Raw genomic sequence first — 17,339 nt, forward strand, 5'->3', positions numbered from 1 at the left:
GGAAGTGTCAGAGTGCAGGCAAAGAGTGGGTTTAAGGAAGGAAGGAACGTCCTACTCTATTCAATTCTACAGTGATGTCACATGAAAGAAAAAATTTTAAAAAGCTCCTTTCGGTTAACTTTTCCAAGGACTGGTTTAATTAAAGTAAGGGAATAAATCAGTCTTTGTTGAAGTACCCCACCGAGTATGTATGTAAGAAATAAACACGGAAGTAAAGACTATTCTTGAGAAATGTGACTGAAAAGGCATAAATAAAAATCAGGGAGGTATAAGAGAAAGTGTAATGATAAGTAGTCTCTTTTTATTAGCTTATTTGTTGCTGTTTTTTGTTTGTATTTAATGTGAGATTGTCCAACATATTTAAAATAACAATAATCACAAATGTTTTCAGCCTTAGTGAGTCTTGCATTAAATACTTTAATTATTGTGCTATACTACTATTTTAGGAGTCAGGTATTAAGGTTATCAAAATCACAATGAAAGTCAAACAGGTAGTTTACTTCTGGACTTTGGAAAAGTGTTGGAATATTACTGAGGAAAGGAGGAAAAGTACTTGGTGTCAAGATTTTTGATACAATATTTGGAGACTCAGGAGATGACTGCTCTAATAGCAGTTTCTTGTTCTATAGTTAGAAGATATACGACGGGGGAAATAAAATGAACATTATTAGTTCAAAGTCTTAAATTCCAAGCTAAAGATCCATGGAAGGGTGAGGAGAGGAATGAGGCTCAAACATGAAAGACGAAGGTGATAGAAGGATTCCTGTAGTTAAGACAGCTGTCAAACCCGTCTTAATGAAACCTTACAATCTTGGTGTAATTCTGTGATGGAAACATGCTTAGAAGCTGCCAGATCTCAGTTCACCTGATGGTGTCACTGCTCTTGCAAAGGTCAATAAATAGCGTGTGGAGCTCTTGCTGCTTCTCCTTGTCCTACTCCTGTGCTTGGGGTTGCAGCCAAAATGATTCAAACAGCTCTCGGAAATTTAAACTCAAATAGAAACTATCTTAGGCATATGCCTGTACTTGCGTATTTATAGTGACTCCTACACATTAACCTATAATTTTAAATTAAGAAACAAATTGTTTAATGTACAAGTTTTCTTTAAACATGTTTTAAAATATTATGTTTATGAAAAAATTTTAAAGCAACATTTAAAGGATCAAAAATTAAAACTCATATTTCCACCAAAAAAACCCATATTTCTACCATCTAATGATTGAAAATATATCCATGATAATTTCTACTCTTTATTTTACTTAATTATATTTATAATATTTAGAAAAAAAATACATTTTGTAGCTTTAAATTTTTATAAATATAATATGAGATACATATTTATATTTCACCAATTATCATCCCCCCTATACTCTGAATATAAGCACTGCTGATATTTTGAAGCATTCTAATAAAATTTTCTGGAAAAATTATAAACATTACAAAAGATAATGCTTAAGAACATGGGTTTTGGTATTAAAAGAAGTTTTGTTTTTATATTTGATATTTTCCTTTACAGTAAAGTACTATTAGAAATGTTTTTTTCTTTCAGTGCCTCACTTTACTATAGATATAGTGCAGATGAAGACAACTTTGTTATGTATGTGTTATTAGAAGAAAAAACTTGTTATTCTCTTGCTAAAGGTGTAATGTCATTATCTTTGATTTTCGCCACTTGTGTATAAAAGAAGTATCTCATTTTAATTTGCATGTATTTGCCTACTAGTTAAGTACAGTGTTTATGGTCTAGACATTTGATATTTAAATCTAATTTTCTGAATTGGTTATGAATGTTACCTATCATCTTTGTTTTAGGAAGTTTGTCTTTAAATTTTTAAAACCATTCATTCATAGCCCATGAAAATTAACCCTTTATCTGTCATATCCATTTCTATTGTTTCCCAAGTGTGCTGGTTGCAAAATATTATATGTAATGTTTAGATTTATAAATAACATATATAGTGTCTGTATGTGTAATTTATTGCTTCAGCCAAGTCCATTGCACTGATAAATCATATTAATAATCTAGTTTTATTGATTTGTACATTTCATATTTAACTTTCAGACTTTAAAAAACTATTTAAGTATCCAACTTTATTAGCTTTGATATAGATGAGCTATCAATGCAGCAACTTTTGTTGAAAATAAACCAAAGATCAAAGAGTTTTCTTAATTAAATACTAAAACATACCATGATCTATTTCTTTTTATTGTTTTTCTTTCATGTGTATCATAGTTTAATTATTATATCTTTGTATATACTTTATTATCTGGCAAGCTTTTTTTTTACACTTTTTTTCCTCATATTGTTTGATATATACTTTTGTCCACTATTCTGAACTTGAAAATCATTTGTCAAATTCGGGATGAAAATTTCCTTTGGTGAACCTGAATTGACTTGGTCTTAATTTACCAAATAAATTGGAAATAATTAAACTCTTTATAAAATGAGTTTTTCAGTTAGTAACATGCTAAACCTTTTAATTTATTTATATTTTTGAAAGTTTCCCTAGACAAAATTTTGCAGTTTTTTTCAAAGTGATGTTATATTTCTTTGTAGATTTACATTTGTTTATTTTATTATAGATACTATTTTGTGAGCATTTTTTCCCTTCTATTTTCTAGTTGTTTTATTTTTTATACCAGGGGTTGTAGCAGGAAGCTCTATAGGGTAGAGGCTAAGAGTTTAAACCACCCAAACCTCAGACTAAGTTCAAATCTTGGTTCTCCTGCTTTTCACTCAGGCAAAAATCACATAATCTCTGAGTATAATTTAACTCATCTGTAAAATTAAGGTAATATAATAATAACCACCTCATTAAATTGTGGTATGGATTATATGAGTTTATATCATGCAAAGGGCTTAGAAAAGTACATATCTTCTATGAAGCACTCAATAGAAGTTGAAAAATACACAGGAAAACTTTCTATTATTGTGTGTGTGTATTTTTATACTGGATTGATTAATTTTATTTATTTATAAGGTTTTTGAAAATTCACTCATGTTTAATAAATATTTCTATCTACATATAATGTTCTTATTTCTATTTCCAACAGTTATACCTTTATTTCTGATATCTACATAGCACTGTTCATCTCTAGAAGTTTCATAAAATTCAGTATTTACTAGTTTTAATAGTTCCCTCTCCCTTCCCTTCCCTCACTTCCTTCCTTCCTTCTTTCTCTCTCTCTCTCTTTCAATAGAGGTAGAGACTTACTGTTTGCCCAGACTGATCTCAAACCCCTGGGCTCAAGCAATCCTCTTGCCTCAGCCTCCCAAACCAAAGTGCTGGGATTACAGACATAAGCCATCATGCGCAGCCTTAATAGTGGCTTTTCAATTGGGGTCCTGACAGGAGAAAAAAAAATGGCAACTCAAATTGAGTATTTAGCAAGGATTAATTCAGAGACTACTTACAAATAGATGGATGAGGTGTAGCAAAACAAGATACAGTGAAATAGCAAGTCTGGTAAGAATGGGGTGCTTATATACTATAAGTACTACTACTACTACTAAGGACAAAAGTGAGAGTGTGTCCGGAATTGATGGGTTCTTGGTCTCACTGACTTCAAGAATGAAGCCGCGTTCCCTCGCAGTGAGTGTTACAGCTCTTAAGGTGGCGCGTCTGGAGTCTGTCCCTTCTGATGTTCAGATGTGTTCGGAGTTTTTTCCTTCTGGTGGGTTCGTGGTCTCGCTGGCTCAGGAGTGAAGCTGCAGACTTCCGCGGTGAGTGTTACAGCTCTTAAGGTAGCGCGTCTGGAGTTGTTCATTCCTCCCGGTGGGCTCGTGGTCTTGCTGGGCTCAGGAGTGAAGCTGCAGATCTTCGCGGTGAGTGTTACAGCTCATAAACGCAGCGTGGACCCAAAGAGTGAGCAGTAGCAAGATTTATTACAAAGAGCGAAAGAACAAAGTTTCCACAGTGTGGAAGGGGACCCGAGGGGGTTGCCAATGCTGGCTCGGGCAGCCTGCTTTTATTCTCTTATCTGGCCCCACCCTTTTGTCAGGGCGCTGATTGGTGCCTTTACAATCCCTGAGCTAGATACAAAGGTTCTCCACGTCCCCATCAGATTAGTTAGATACAGAGTTTCCACACACAGGTTCTCCAAGGCCCCACCAGAGCAGCTAGATACAGGGTGTCGATTGGTGCATTCACAAACCTTGAGCTAAACACAGGGTGCTGATTGGTGTGTTTACAATTCCTGAGCTAGATATAAAGACTCTCCACGTCCCCACCAGACTCAGGAGCCCAGCTGGCTTCACCTAGTGGATCCCGCACTGGGGCTGCAGGTGGAGCTGCCTGCCAGTCCTGCGCCGTGCGCTCACATTCCTCAGCCCTTGGGTGGTCGATGGGACTGGGCTCCCTGGAGCAGGGGGTGGCGCTCGTCGGGGAGGCTCCGGCCACACAGGAGCCCATGGAGTGGGTGGGAGGCTCAGGCATGGCGGGCTGCAGGTCTCGAGGCCGGCCCTGTGGGAAGGCAGCCAAGGCCCGGCGAGAAATCAAGCACAGTGCCGGTGGGCCAGCACTGCTGGGGGACTCAGTACACCCTCCGCAGCCACTGGCCCGGGTGCTAAGTCCCCCATTGCCCGGGGCCAGCAGGGCTGGCTGGCTGCTCCGAGTGCAGGGCACACCAAGCCCACGCCCACCCGGAACTCCAGCTGGCCCACAAGTGCTGCACACAGCCCCGGTTCCTGCTCGTGTCTCTCCCTCCACACCTCCCTGCAAGCTGAAGGAGTGGGCTCCGGCCTTGGCCAGCCCAGAAAGGGGCTCCCACAGTGCAGTGGGGGACTGAAGGGCTCCTCAAATGCCACCAAAGTGGGAGCCCAGGCAGGGGAGGTGCCGAGAGCAAGCGAGGGTTCTGAGGACTGCCAGCACGCTGTCACCTCTCAAGAGCACAGTCACTTGGACCTGGAGACAGAGAGAGTTATGTTGAGAAATGCAATCAGACTACAATAACTCTAAATGGAGGGAACCAAGGTAATATATACGCCAACTTAACTCTTTTCCCTTCTCTAGAAATTCCGCTGGTATTGACCTTTGTATAAAACCATGAGGAAGCCTGAAGATAAATAAATCCTTGATATTGTTCATTTGGGTTGGCTTTGAAGGGCACAGAGCAAAGGGTGTCTCGGAGGGAACAGTGAAAATTAGCCAACTGAGGGCATTGTTGTCACATCCCGATATTGTTTGGTACATTTCTACATTTTCACGGATAATTATGATATTAAGATAAAGCTTCTCTATCACTTAAAGGAGTTTCATTAATTGCTATTATTGTTACTAATTAACTATTTTAATTGATCAGGAATAGATATTCACTTTTTTCAATTTCTTTGGGCTTATTCATTAATTTATGTCTCTTTTGAGGGCAAATTACAGACAAGCCCTTAACAGGTGCTCAACTGACATTTGAAATTAATTCAGAATTAGTCCCTGCTTTCATGAAACTTCTGGAACTTTCATAAAGCAGACCAAATAAGGTAAAAAAAAATCAAACCAATACAAAAATGATTTTAAAATGATTTTAAAATTTTAAAAAAGTTCTACAAAGAAAATTTTAAAAAATGTGTTGCAATGGAGAACAATTTTGATAGAGAGTGAAGGAGGAGAGGAAGTGACAAGTTTTCATTAAAGAGCACGTTTAAGCTGAGATCTATGAGATGATTTAACAACAAAAACAGCTAGCATAGAACTAGCTAGAACTGAAAAAAAGCATTTGATAAGTGTTATGCCAAAGGCTTCCAGGTGGGGAAAGATTTAAGACTGCAATCTGAGAAGTGAATAACACAAACTTGTGGTTTAATTTACCAGTTCCAAAAAAGAAGCTAATTTTGACCAGTTAAGTGAGTTCTAATCATGTGTACCCCAGAGCTAAGAAAATTAGATTTTATTCTACAAGCCATGGAAAGCCATTAGCTCTTTATTTCTCAAAAACCTTTTATACATTTACTCAGGGAATAAAATTTAGCATTTTCTTTAAAATATATCTAGTACCAAATCATATTTATGATCTCTACCATTACTATCTTCTTCCCAGAAAACATGACCTCAACAGCTTCATCATTGCCCTGCCCTTCACTTACACTCATACTATCCTCCATACAGCAGCCAGGGGCATCCCCCTAAGAGTAGGAGGAAGAGTAATAGTAGTAGTTCAAGTCACAGTCCTCACTGTTCAAAACTTTAGACTCTACAGATAAACAAGATGGGTGAGCAACTGCTTTTTTTTGCCCCTCACTAAAGTTGAAATTGTGATCATTTCATAAAACTGGTACACTTTTTTCCACCAATGTTTTTGAAATGTTTAAATGGGTAGGTATTATGAACACTTTAAAAGTTCAGGCTCACTAAAAATTAAGCCCAACAGTTTTGAAGGATTATTGATATCTCTGTGTCCCCACCCAAATCTCATTTTGAATTGTAATATGAATTGTAATCCCCATGTGTTGGGGGAAGGACATCATGGGAGGTGTTTAGATCATAGGGGCATTTCCCCCATGCTGTTCTCATGACAGTGAGTGAGCTCTCACAAGATCCGATGGTTTTATAAGGGACTTTCCCCCTCTTCACTCTGCACTTCTCTCTCCTGCCATCATGTGAAGAAGGAGGAGTTTTTTCCCCTTCTGCCATGATTGTAAGTTTCCTGAGGCTTCCCCAACTATGTGGAACTGTGAGTCAATTAAACCTCTTTGCTTTATAAATTGCCCCATCTTCAGTATTTTTTTCATAGCAGTGTGAGAACAAACTAATATAATTCTATATTAAAATATTTTAAATGTTCTTTAAGCTGTTGATCTATTCAGCTATTTATATTGTTCAATAACTTTTGGATTTACGGTTAATTGTTAACAATTGAAATGTAATTTTATTGCAATGCAGCTCAAGAATATGTCCTTTAAAAATTGTTCTCAATGTGCTGCCAGATTTTGTTTGCAAGTATTTTGCTGAGGATTTTTGCATCTATGTTCATCAAGGATATTGGCCTGGAGTTTTCCTGTTGTTGTGTTTCTGCCAGGTTTTGGTATTAGAATGATGCTGGCCTCATAGAGTGTGTTATGGTGTAGTTCTTCCTCCTTGGTTTTTGTAATAGTTTCAGTAGGAACGGTACCAGCTCTTCCTTATACGTCTGGTAGAATTCAACTTGAATCCATCTGGTCCTGGGCTTTTTCTGGTTGGTAAGCTTTTTATTACTAATTAAATTTTGAAACTCTTACATATACATCATGGAATACTAATCATCCATAAAAAAGATCATGTGCTTTGCAGAAACATGGATGAAGCTAGAGGCCATCATCCTAAGTGAACTACCACAGGACAGAAAACCAAATCCCACATGTTCTCACTTACAAGTGGGAGCTAAACTTTGAGTATGCCCAGACACAAAGAAGGGAAGAGTAGACTGGACCCTACTTGAGATTGGTGGGTGGGAAAAGGGTAATGATCGAAAAATGATCTATGAGGTATATGCTTATTACCTGGGTGATGAAATAATTTGTACACCAAACTCCTATGACACACCATTTTTTATTTATTTATTTATTTATTTATTTATTTTTATTATTATTTTTTAAATTTATTATTATTATACTTTAAGTTTTAGGGTACATGTGCACAATGTGCAGGTTAGTTACATATGTATACATGTGCCATGCTGGTGCGCTGCACCCACTAACTCGTCATCTAGCATTAGGTATATCTCCCAATGCTATCCCTCCCCCCTCCCCCCACCCCACAACAGTCCCCAGAGTGTGATGTTCCCCTTCCTGTGTCCATGTGTTCTCACTGTTCAATTCCCACCTATGAGTGAGAATATGCGGTGTTTGGTTTTTTGTTCTTGCGATAGTTTACTGAGAATGATGACTTCCAATTTCATCCATGTCACTACAAAGGACATGAACTCATCATTTTTTATGGCTGCATAGTATTCCATGGTGTATATGTGCCACATTTTCTTAATCCAGTCTTTCATTGTTGGACATTTGGGTTGGTTCCAAGTCTTTGCTATTGTGAATAATGCCGCAATAAACATATGTGTGCATGTGTCTTTATAGCAGCATTATTTATAGTCCTTTGGGTATATACCCAGTAATGGGATGGCTGGGTCAAATGGTATTTCTAGTTCTAGATCCCTGAGGAATCGCCACACTGACTTCCACAATGGTTGAACTAGTTTACAGTCCCACCAGCAGTGTAAAAGTGTTCCTATTTCTCCACATCCTCTCCAGCCCCTGTTGTTTCCTGACTTTTTAATGATTGCCATTCTAACTGGTGTGAGATGGTATCTCATTGTGGTTTTGATTTGCATTTCTCTGATGGCCAGTGATGGTGAGCATTTTTTCATGTGTTTTTTGGCTGCATAAATGTCTCCTTTTGAGAAGTGTCTGTTCATGTCATTTGCCCACTTTTTGATAGTTGTTTGTTTTTTTCTTGTACATTTGTTTGAGTTCATTGTAGATTCTGGATATTAGCCCTTTGTCAGATGAGTAGGTTGCGAAAATTTTCTCCCATTTTGTAGGTTGCCTGTTCACTCTAATGGTAGTTTCTTTTGCTGTGCAGAAGCTCTTTAGTTTAATTAGATCCCATTTGTCAATTTTGGCTTTTGTTGCCATTGCTTTTGGTGTTTTAGACATGAAGTCCTTGCCCATGCCTATGTCCTGAATGGTAATGCCTAGGTTTTCTTCTAGGGTTTTTATGGTTTTAGGTCTAACGTTTAAGCCTTTAATCCATCTTGAATTGATTTTTGTATAAGGTGTAAGGAAGGGATCCAGTTTCAGCTTTCTACATATGGCTAGCCAGTTTTCCCAGCACCATTTATTAAATAGGGAATGCTTTCCCCATTGCTTGTTTTTCTCAGGTTTGACACACCATTTTTTATATAACAAACCTGCACATGTACCCCTGAACCTAAAAGTTTATATATATAGGTGTGTGTGTATATATGTATATATGTGTGTATATATGTATATATGTATATGTATGTATATATGTGTATATATATGTACATGTATGTGTGTATATATATATATTGTTTTCACTTTAATTTGGAATATCATTGCAGTCTTATTTCTTGAGTTTTATTGAGGAAAGAAATTATCTTCTACTTAAATGCAAATATTTAAATAAATCATTTCATGTATTTCTGTATATAAATAATTTTAATATACATATAAATGTCATGGATTATATTATTTGAAGATTTATCCTTATGCATTGTAAATTACTTCTTTCAAAGTCAGAGTAATTTATTAGTCTTTTTAAATGATTGTTTATGTTGATCTTCTTGTACTCATTATATACTTTGTCTTATTTAATTCCATGATTTATTACTAAAAGCAGAGCTTCATGACTATTATATAACTATTGAGGCTAGAAACTCAACATTGTGTCTCATGTAATTAGACATCTTGAAATAATAGAACAGAATTTTGTCTTCTGAACTTATATCTCAGGGATTTTCTTAAAGATTTATTCTTAAATTCTTAAAAATTCTTAAAAATTGGTATATGATTCCAGTTGTACAAACAATTTGGTTAATTTCGTTGTGTGAATATCATTCATTTCTGGTTTTTCTTATTACTGTTGGCTTTATCTAATTATTATATTGAAGTTCACATTTTATAAGCATTTTTTGATGGTGATGTTGAAAAGGAGATTTCTGCTGTAATATTGTCATATTTCCTATTCAGCTTTCCATGCATGCAATCTCATTTTTCATAGTCATAATTTTGATTCAATAGCATCACATAAAATATTTTTAAGTGAACCTAAATTATGGGTAAGGAATCAGGGAAGAGTAAAGAAAAGACCTATCAGTGATAATCAGCCTTCTAAATAGCCGTAATCATCATTTACCATTGTTCTCTCTCTCTGTTGTCTCTTAGTATAAAGCATATTCTATAGTGCAAAATATTTTTTAAAAAGGGATTTACTAGCCAGTCAAATCAATTTATTATTTATTTTTTATTTAATCAAATATCACTCTAAATTCAGAGAACTAATACTTTGAAAATATGTTTTGGACCCTATTCCCCACTTTCATCATAGCAATTACATCAACATAAACAACAATTAGATGGTTCAACATGCAGTAGACAAATTACTGACTTCCATTAAAGTCAGTTTGTGACCCTCTTGAGCAAGACATCTCTGCTGCAAACTACTGTGAGACCCAATTTGAGATTTAGCATTTTCCACTTCAATTGTGCTGCACATTCCCCTAGGTAATTCTGTCTGTGCTACTTACATAAATCAAGATAATTCTGTGATATGGGTGTATATTACAGTTTTTTATGTGCTTATTACTTGGAGGCTGATGCTTCTGAAACTTTTTCTTAACCACAATGTCAACTGGCAACTTGCCCTGAGGGTTTATTTTATTGAGAAGCAATGACTAGAGGCTGTATTTTATTCTTGTAGCCTCAGAAATGCATTTGTAAATTGATTAAACTGAAATGCATGTATCTTATAACTAGATAAGTAAAACGGATTCCTAGTGGACTCTTTCAGAATAGCCTTGGGCTTTTAGTTACACAGATTGGGCGAAATATATAAATATTAATTGGTGTATAAATTTGGATATCTTAAAAACAAAGCAAAATAAATTATGGTCGAAACACAAAAGGAGGCAACAGCCTTTAGGGAAATTAATCAGAGCACATTTTTTAGGATTTTTTACTTTTTTCATTCAAACCAGAAATGGGGACACTAACATTTTTGATAGCTAAAGAACTGCACCTGCATTGGAACTGTCATTCTACAATATGATGAATAAACTGATAAAAGGAACTTATTTAAGAACATTTTTGTGCTCTGTACATGGTTTATACTCCCTATCTATATAATTATTTATGATTACCTGAGTATATTTTACAACATGCAAGCAAGCAAATACAAATAAAGGAAGAGTATGTAAGTTAAACTATATCTTCTCCATGAAATGTAGAGTACATACCAACAAGCAAGGAAACTGGGAAACAAGTAAAACTGGAATACAAGTATACAACTGAGAGAATATAAATATGGGACAAATTTGCAGAAATCAACAAAAATGATTTGAATGAATAAACTTTATAGGGTAAAATTTTTATCTGTGGCACAAAAACAGATGAAAATAAACACTGTCAGCCACTGAGAGAGATTTGAGTTAACTTTGCTGCAAATATTGGTGGAAAGAATTGAAAGTATACAAAAGCAGATGAATGATGAAAGAAAATGTGGCATATACATCCAACAGAATATTATTCACTCTTTAAAAAAAAAAGAAATTATGGCACTTGCCACAGCATTAATGAACCTGGAGGACAATATGCTAAGTAAAGTAAGCCAGACACAGAAAAATGAATAGTGGAGGATTCCATTTTAATGAGGCATCTAGCATAGTCAAACTCATAGAAGCAGAGAAACCAACAGTAGACAGTGGTTGCCAGATGTTGGGAGGTAAAGGAAATGGGGAATTGTTGTTTAATGGATACAAAGTCTCAAGTATGCTAGAGTCGTAAGTTCTAGAGGTCTGCAGTACCTACAATATATAGTTAATTATACAGTGTTGTGCACTTCAAAATTTGTCAAGAACATAGATCTCACATTGTGTTCTTACAAAGATGAGGGGGGATCACAAGAAAACTTTCGGAGGTGTTGGCTATTTCTATTACTTTGATTGTGGTAATGGCATCATAGATGTTTGCATAGGTTCAAACTTATCAAATTGCAAACATTAAATATGTGTAGCTCTTTGTATTTCAGTTATACTTCAATAAGGCTGTAAGAAAAAAAAGAAAGAGAAGAAAAAAATAGGAATAAGAGAAATCAGAAGCCCAGAGGGAAATATTGCATGAAAAGCTGTTTTAACTCACCAAAGCATATATTCAACAATTTACACCAATAGAAGATATTTAGTAATTGATAAAAGTGGTGCAAAAAAGACAAAATATATACAGGAAGATTCTGAAGGAAGCACTTTTCTAAAGTCAATATCTAAACTGAATAAGGATCCAAAACTATTTTATGACATCATTGTCAATGTTTATTTTCAATTAAGCTTCTGACCATACAGCTTTGACAAGCACATATTTTTCAAAGTATTTTCTCTTTTGTCCTATGGGATTTGTTTAAATTTAATGAGACTTGTATGTATTTTCTCTTGCTGTTGAATGATTTTGAATTTTATTAACCAATGGCAATATAAATAGTAACATCTAATCAGAATGGTCAATTTTATACGATTACTATTTTATTTGATTATTTTAAATATTCTAATGATTTTAATTTCTATTCTGGGGACAATTAAATGAAAATTATTTTAATGCAGATGTCTCACTATTTTATAAGGTTGCAAGGACATTGGAATATTCTGTAAATGCACACAACTCAATTTAAACGTTTTATAGATCTACAAAATCTGAAGGTCTGTATTGTCAAAGGCAGCTGTGTGCTATAGGCCTGGTTAAAGCACTTTTGAAACCACCAAAGCCACCTTCTTTTATGAAGTGATATGGTGCTAATAAACATTAGAAAATATTTTGTGCCTGGATGTCAAGTACTAAGAAATGATAGTATGCCCTCAAATGTGTTCTTAATATTAGTTGACTGATAAAGTCACTGCAGTTGGCATTTATTGCCATGAACTATAGTACTTCACTTTATCACTCAGACTAGATCACAATGTTCCAACAGCTACAATCTGTTAACTCGCATCCAAATAGCTAAAATGCCCTTAAAGGAAGCATTACCTGCCTCTGAAGGTTCCCTAGCATTTTAAGAGATTTCATAAACATTGGTGAAGTTCAATATCAGCTCTTGGATTGATATTGAATTAATTGCGAAGTAGAGAATGAAAAATTTTCTCTCTTTTGCACAAGAAAGTAGGCCTTGTATCCTAAGATATTTAGGCATAAAAATTGTATGAATATTTCAGTAAAAATTATTATGTTCTGTTGGACTATCCTTTCAAACTACCAAAGCATAATATTCTTATTTCAATGAATAACAAAAATAAGTAAACAATAAAACTCAGCGCTCAATCCCTCCTCTTCCACTTCACATTGAGAAAATATTAACTGTATATGATGCATATTGCCAAATATAATAATTTTCTGTGTCCATTAAACTACACGTGTATAGAAGTTTAATTTCACAAACATGCCATTTATGATATATATTACCCTGCATTTTGCTTCTTTTAAATGCATATGTATGAATAAATCTATTTTTTCTTTAATATCTGTATAGTACCAGATATTTGTGGATAATGCTATCATTTATTTAGCTATTCTTCTATTAATGAGTACTTAGGATGTTTTTATTTTTGTCACTTCAATGAATTCTGCAGAAAATATGCTTAAATACATGTCTTTATATGTTAGAGATGTTTTTCCATATTTTTATTACAAGGTGAGATTGCTGAATCTAATGGAATATTTCAATTTTAGATTCTGCCAGATTATTTTCTAGAAGATCTTTGTAATTAGCACATTAATCAGAAATGTATGAGAGTCATCTTGACCACTGTCACCAGCATTGATGTTACTAATCTTTTATCTATTTTCCCATGTGATCTATGGAAATTATTTACCATTGATTAGCTTTTCCCTGATAAATAACATGGTTGAACATATTTTCATATATAGTACTTATTGAACATTTAAAACGACAATCGCTCTTATTCTTTATATTCTTGTGATAGCCTTTATCATCTTTTCTATTTGGTTATGGTCTTTTACTTATGAATTTGTAGTAACTATTGGTATTTTAAAATATCATTCCACTTCTTTTTTTCCTGAATATGTTTCAGACACTTTCTCCTAGTTACTCTATATTTTTCTGGCTTGTTCTCCCATTGGACATTTAAAATTTTTTACACTCCAAGAGTTATTGATTTTTTTTTCTTTCTCCCATTTTACAAAATATCATTCTAAACATTTTTTTTTAATTTGGATTTTACTCTTTACAGGATTTATTTTTACATATGGTATAAAATAGTGATCTGACTTGATTTTTGTTCAGAAAGTTGGTTAATATTACCCACCTGATAAACAATTGTTAATTTAATTTGTACATTTTCAACGTTTTGTATTCATGGACACAAATTAATTTCAACATGTGCATAATAACACGAGATAGATATGTTTTATTAGACACTATTTCATTTAGCATGTTATCATTTATTTGCATTCAGGGTTCCAGAGTACTGAAAATATTTACTACTCAAAACTTCTGTAAATTACTAGCCACCTGTCATTCTGATTTGTGTTTGTTTTTGTATTTTCATTTGGGATAGAGGAAGGAGCAAAGTGTGTGAGAGTGGTGTGTGTGTGTGTGTTGATAGTGTTGATAGCTCTCAGTTTTTCTTTTTTCCTTTTGAACTGCCATAGATTCTAACCATGTGAAGGGTTATGCCCCACTTAGATTTTTATCAGAAGGTTCTGTTTGCTAGTTTCTTTGTAACACTGTAAATATCTCCTGGCTACAGTAGCACAGATGATTTTTGATGAACCAGTTCAAGTATTCTCTGTGAAAGCTGTGAAATCCAATGTTAAAAGTTAGAAATTGGATTAGTTTGTCAGGAACTGGGGCTAATCCACCTTATATTTTTGATTGTTTTGTTTCGTTTTACAGTGATATTGGATATACAGAAGGATATTAATAGACATTTGCCTGGGCATGACCTGCTTCATTGTCAATAATAATCAGGAGGTACAACATATATTGTTCTCTACTACGAAAACAAATACCTAACAAATGAAGAGAGAACAAAATAGAAAATTTATTACCTAATGATTTCAGTGACCATCACTTAATGCTTATTATCCAACATTTCTATTTTTATAACAATGAACTCACATGTTAGAATAATGTATATCCTCTCTGAAAAAAACTTTTGTATTTTTTATGTAATATTTTGTTAATTCTGAATTTTCTCATTTCTAGTGTAAATTTTATTTACCTAAAATTTTCCCTAAAGGCTATTTGTCTAAGTAGATGGTCAATTAATATGGATGCTAACTATTAATAAGAACAAAGGAAAGAAGCTTGCCAAACATTCAACAAGTATTTATCGAACGTCCAAAATGTGCAAGATTCTTTGCGACATGCTAAGAGTTTCAGAGAAAATTTATAGGTAGAACAGTTATACTTCTGTTAACATTATATATAAATAAAAATAACTTGGAAGAAATTGACAATTAATTGTATGAATCATATTCAAGCCTTATATTTTAGATAATGAGTGGGTAGCAAGGCTGCTAATATGGTCATGCTATCCCTGGCAAATGCTGCTGCGTTCAGCGAAGCTGGTCAAACTTACTGACAGTATATTTCATTAATTACCATAATCATAAAATTCTGCCTTCATAATGCAACTGCATTGTATATTTATAACTTGTCTGAATGTTTTAATTCCCTGATATCCATAGAGAAAAATACATAGTTATTCCAATTGAAGCAATTAAAGAAAATGATCTAAACGGCTAATCCATAATCAATATCCAAGTTTAAAATCCAAGTATTGAGTGTTTGACCTATGTCAATCTCAAGTGCTTGAATAAAAATGGGTTATCTATTATATAGAATGGTTTTATGCATTTGAAATAAATATATATTTTTAAAGTCAAAGATACATATTTAATGCAACAACGGAGGGAGACTGAGTTGTGAGAGAATTTGTATAGAACACAATATTCTAAAAAGCCAGCTATCCTAAACTCATTTTCTTCTCACAATTATTTTTACATTTTGCTCAATCCTATTTATCAATATATCTATGCATAAGACAATAAAACTCCATTGCAAGAATGTAAAGTGTATTAATGTAAAAAAAGTGATTAATTTAACACAATATTCATCACAATGTAAATTGATATATTTAAAGAAAAAGCATATGATCATATTTTAAAACTTAGAAAAAAATACTCCTAATAAAAACTCATTTGTGATCAAAAGAAAAATTTACCTTAGCAAAAAGTAAGGTAAAAAATTTTGCTTTAGCAAAACAGGTTAAAAATTAATCTTTAATTGATTAAGGAAATGAAGCAAACATAACAATAAACAAACTCAAAGTGTCATTTAATTTACAGGTAATATTTCAGACATATTTTTAATAGAATCAGAAATACAATGATACTCAGTAGCATAATTTCCCTTTAACTTTGAAGGGAGGGGATGGGTAGCAGATTCTGGCCAATTTTAATAAATCTGAAAAAATAAATGCATGGTACAAGAATTAAACAAATTTATTATTATCTATGAAGGACAGAAAAATCTTAGAGACTCTAGAAATTATTAGAAATAAAGCAGTTAACAGCAAAGTTCTTCAGCATAAATTAATATTTCAATGTCAGAATAATTTACAATTATGTTTAAGTGAGAGAGTTAATTTTGAAAGATTCCATATAAACCTAAAACTATAAAGCACACAGGAATGAAGCTACTAAATGATATGTAAGACTTTTATTAAAAATTATGAAGTTATACTGAAGTACATGAAAGATCTAAATGAATGGAAAAACATGCCATATTCATAAACAGGACTGCTTAAAATTATGAAGATTCTTATTATTCAAAAATAAATATAAATTTATAACTTTCCATACAGAATATCAACAACATTTTTACAGTACTGGACTAGCTGATTTGAAACTATATATGCAAAGGGACAGACTGTATGTGTACAAGTGTGAAGAATAGGCAAAGAAATATGGAAAAAGAAAAGGTGGCAAGAACTACTTTATAAAAGAGTGTACGCTAAAAAAAACAGGAAATCTCTTCAGAGAGAGATGCTAATATAACAAGCCGCCATGGGAGAAGAAGAAAATAAAAAAGAAGGGGGCTGTTCCCTTCGCATTTCAAGCTAAGTGGGGAGATTTCAGGTAGACTACGAGTTAAAAAAGCATTCTGTGTGGTTTGGGACTTATGGGGCCTGATATGTCATCCTCATTTGGGGAAGGGTAAAAAAAAAAGGCTATGGTTGGAACAGTTTGCTTACGAACTACATTCAGTTCTAGCTGTGCTGTAGTAGGGGTGGGGAAAGGATGCATATATGGTTACTTGAATCTGCAGAAGTAGTGGAACTCTAACAGAAGACCTGGATGGGTTCTCTAGAAGCCATAAGTGGAGAAAAGTGTAAAGCAACCTTTTAGAGGACAGGCATCATTTGCCAAGGGGCTGTAGTAAGAAGCTGCCAAAAGAGAATCTTAAAGAAAAAAAAAAAAATAGCAGCTCTCCTAAAAAACAGGGTCCTTTTACCTCTTAAAGTCTGATTTTCAAAATGTTAGAAAAATATGAGTCAAACAAATGCAAAACAAACATTTGTCAAAGAGAAAGTAATTAATGAAGAAACCAATAAGATG

The sequence above is a fragment of the Homo sapiens genome, chromosome 13, assembly GCF_000001405.40.
Source record: "Homo sapiens chromosome 13, GRCh38.p14 Primary Assembly".
Classification (NCBI taxonomy): Eukaryota; Metazoa; Chordata; class Mammalia; order Primates; family Hominidae; genus Homo; species Homo sapiens.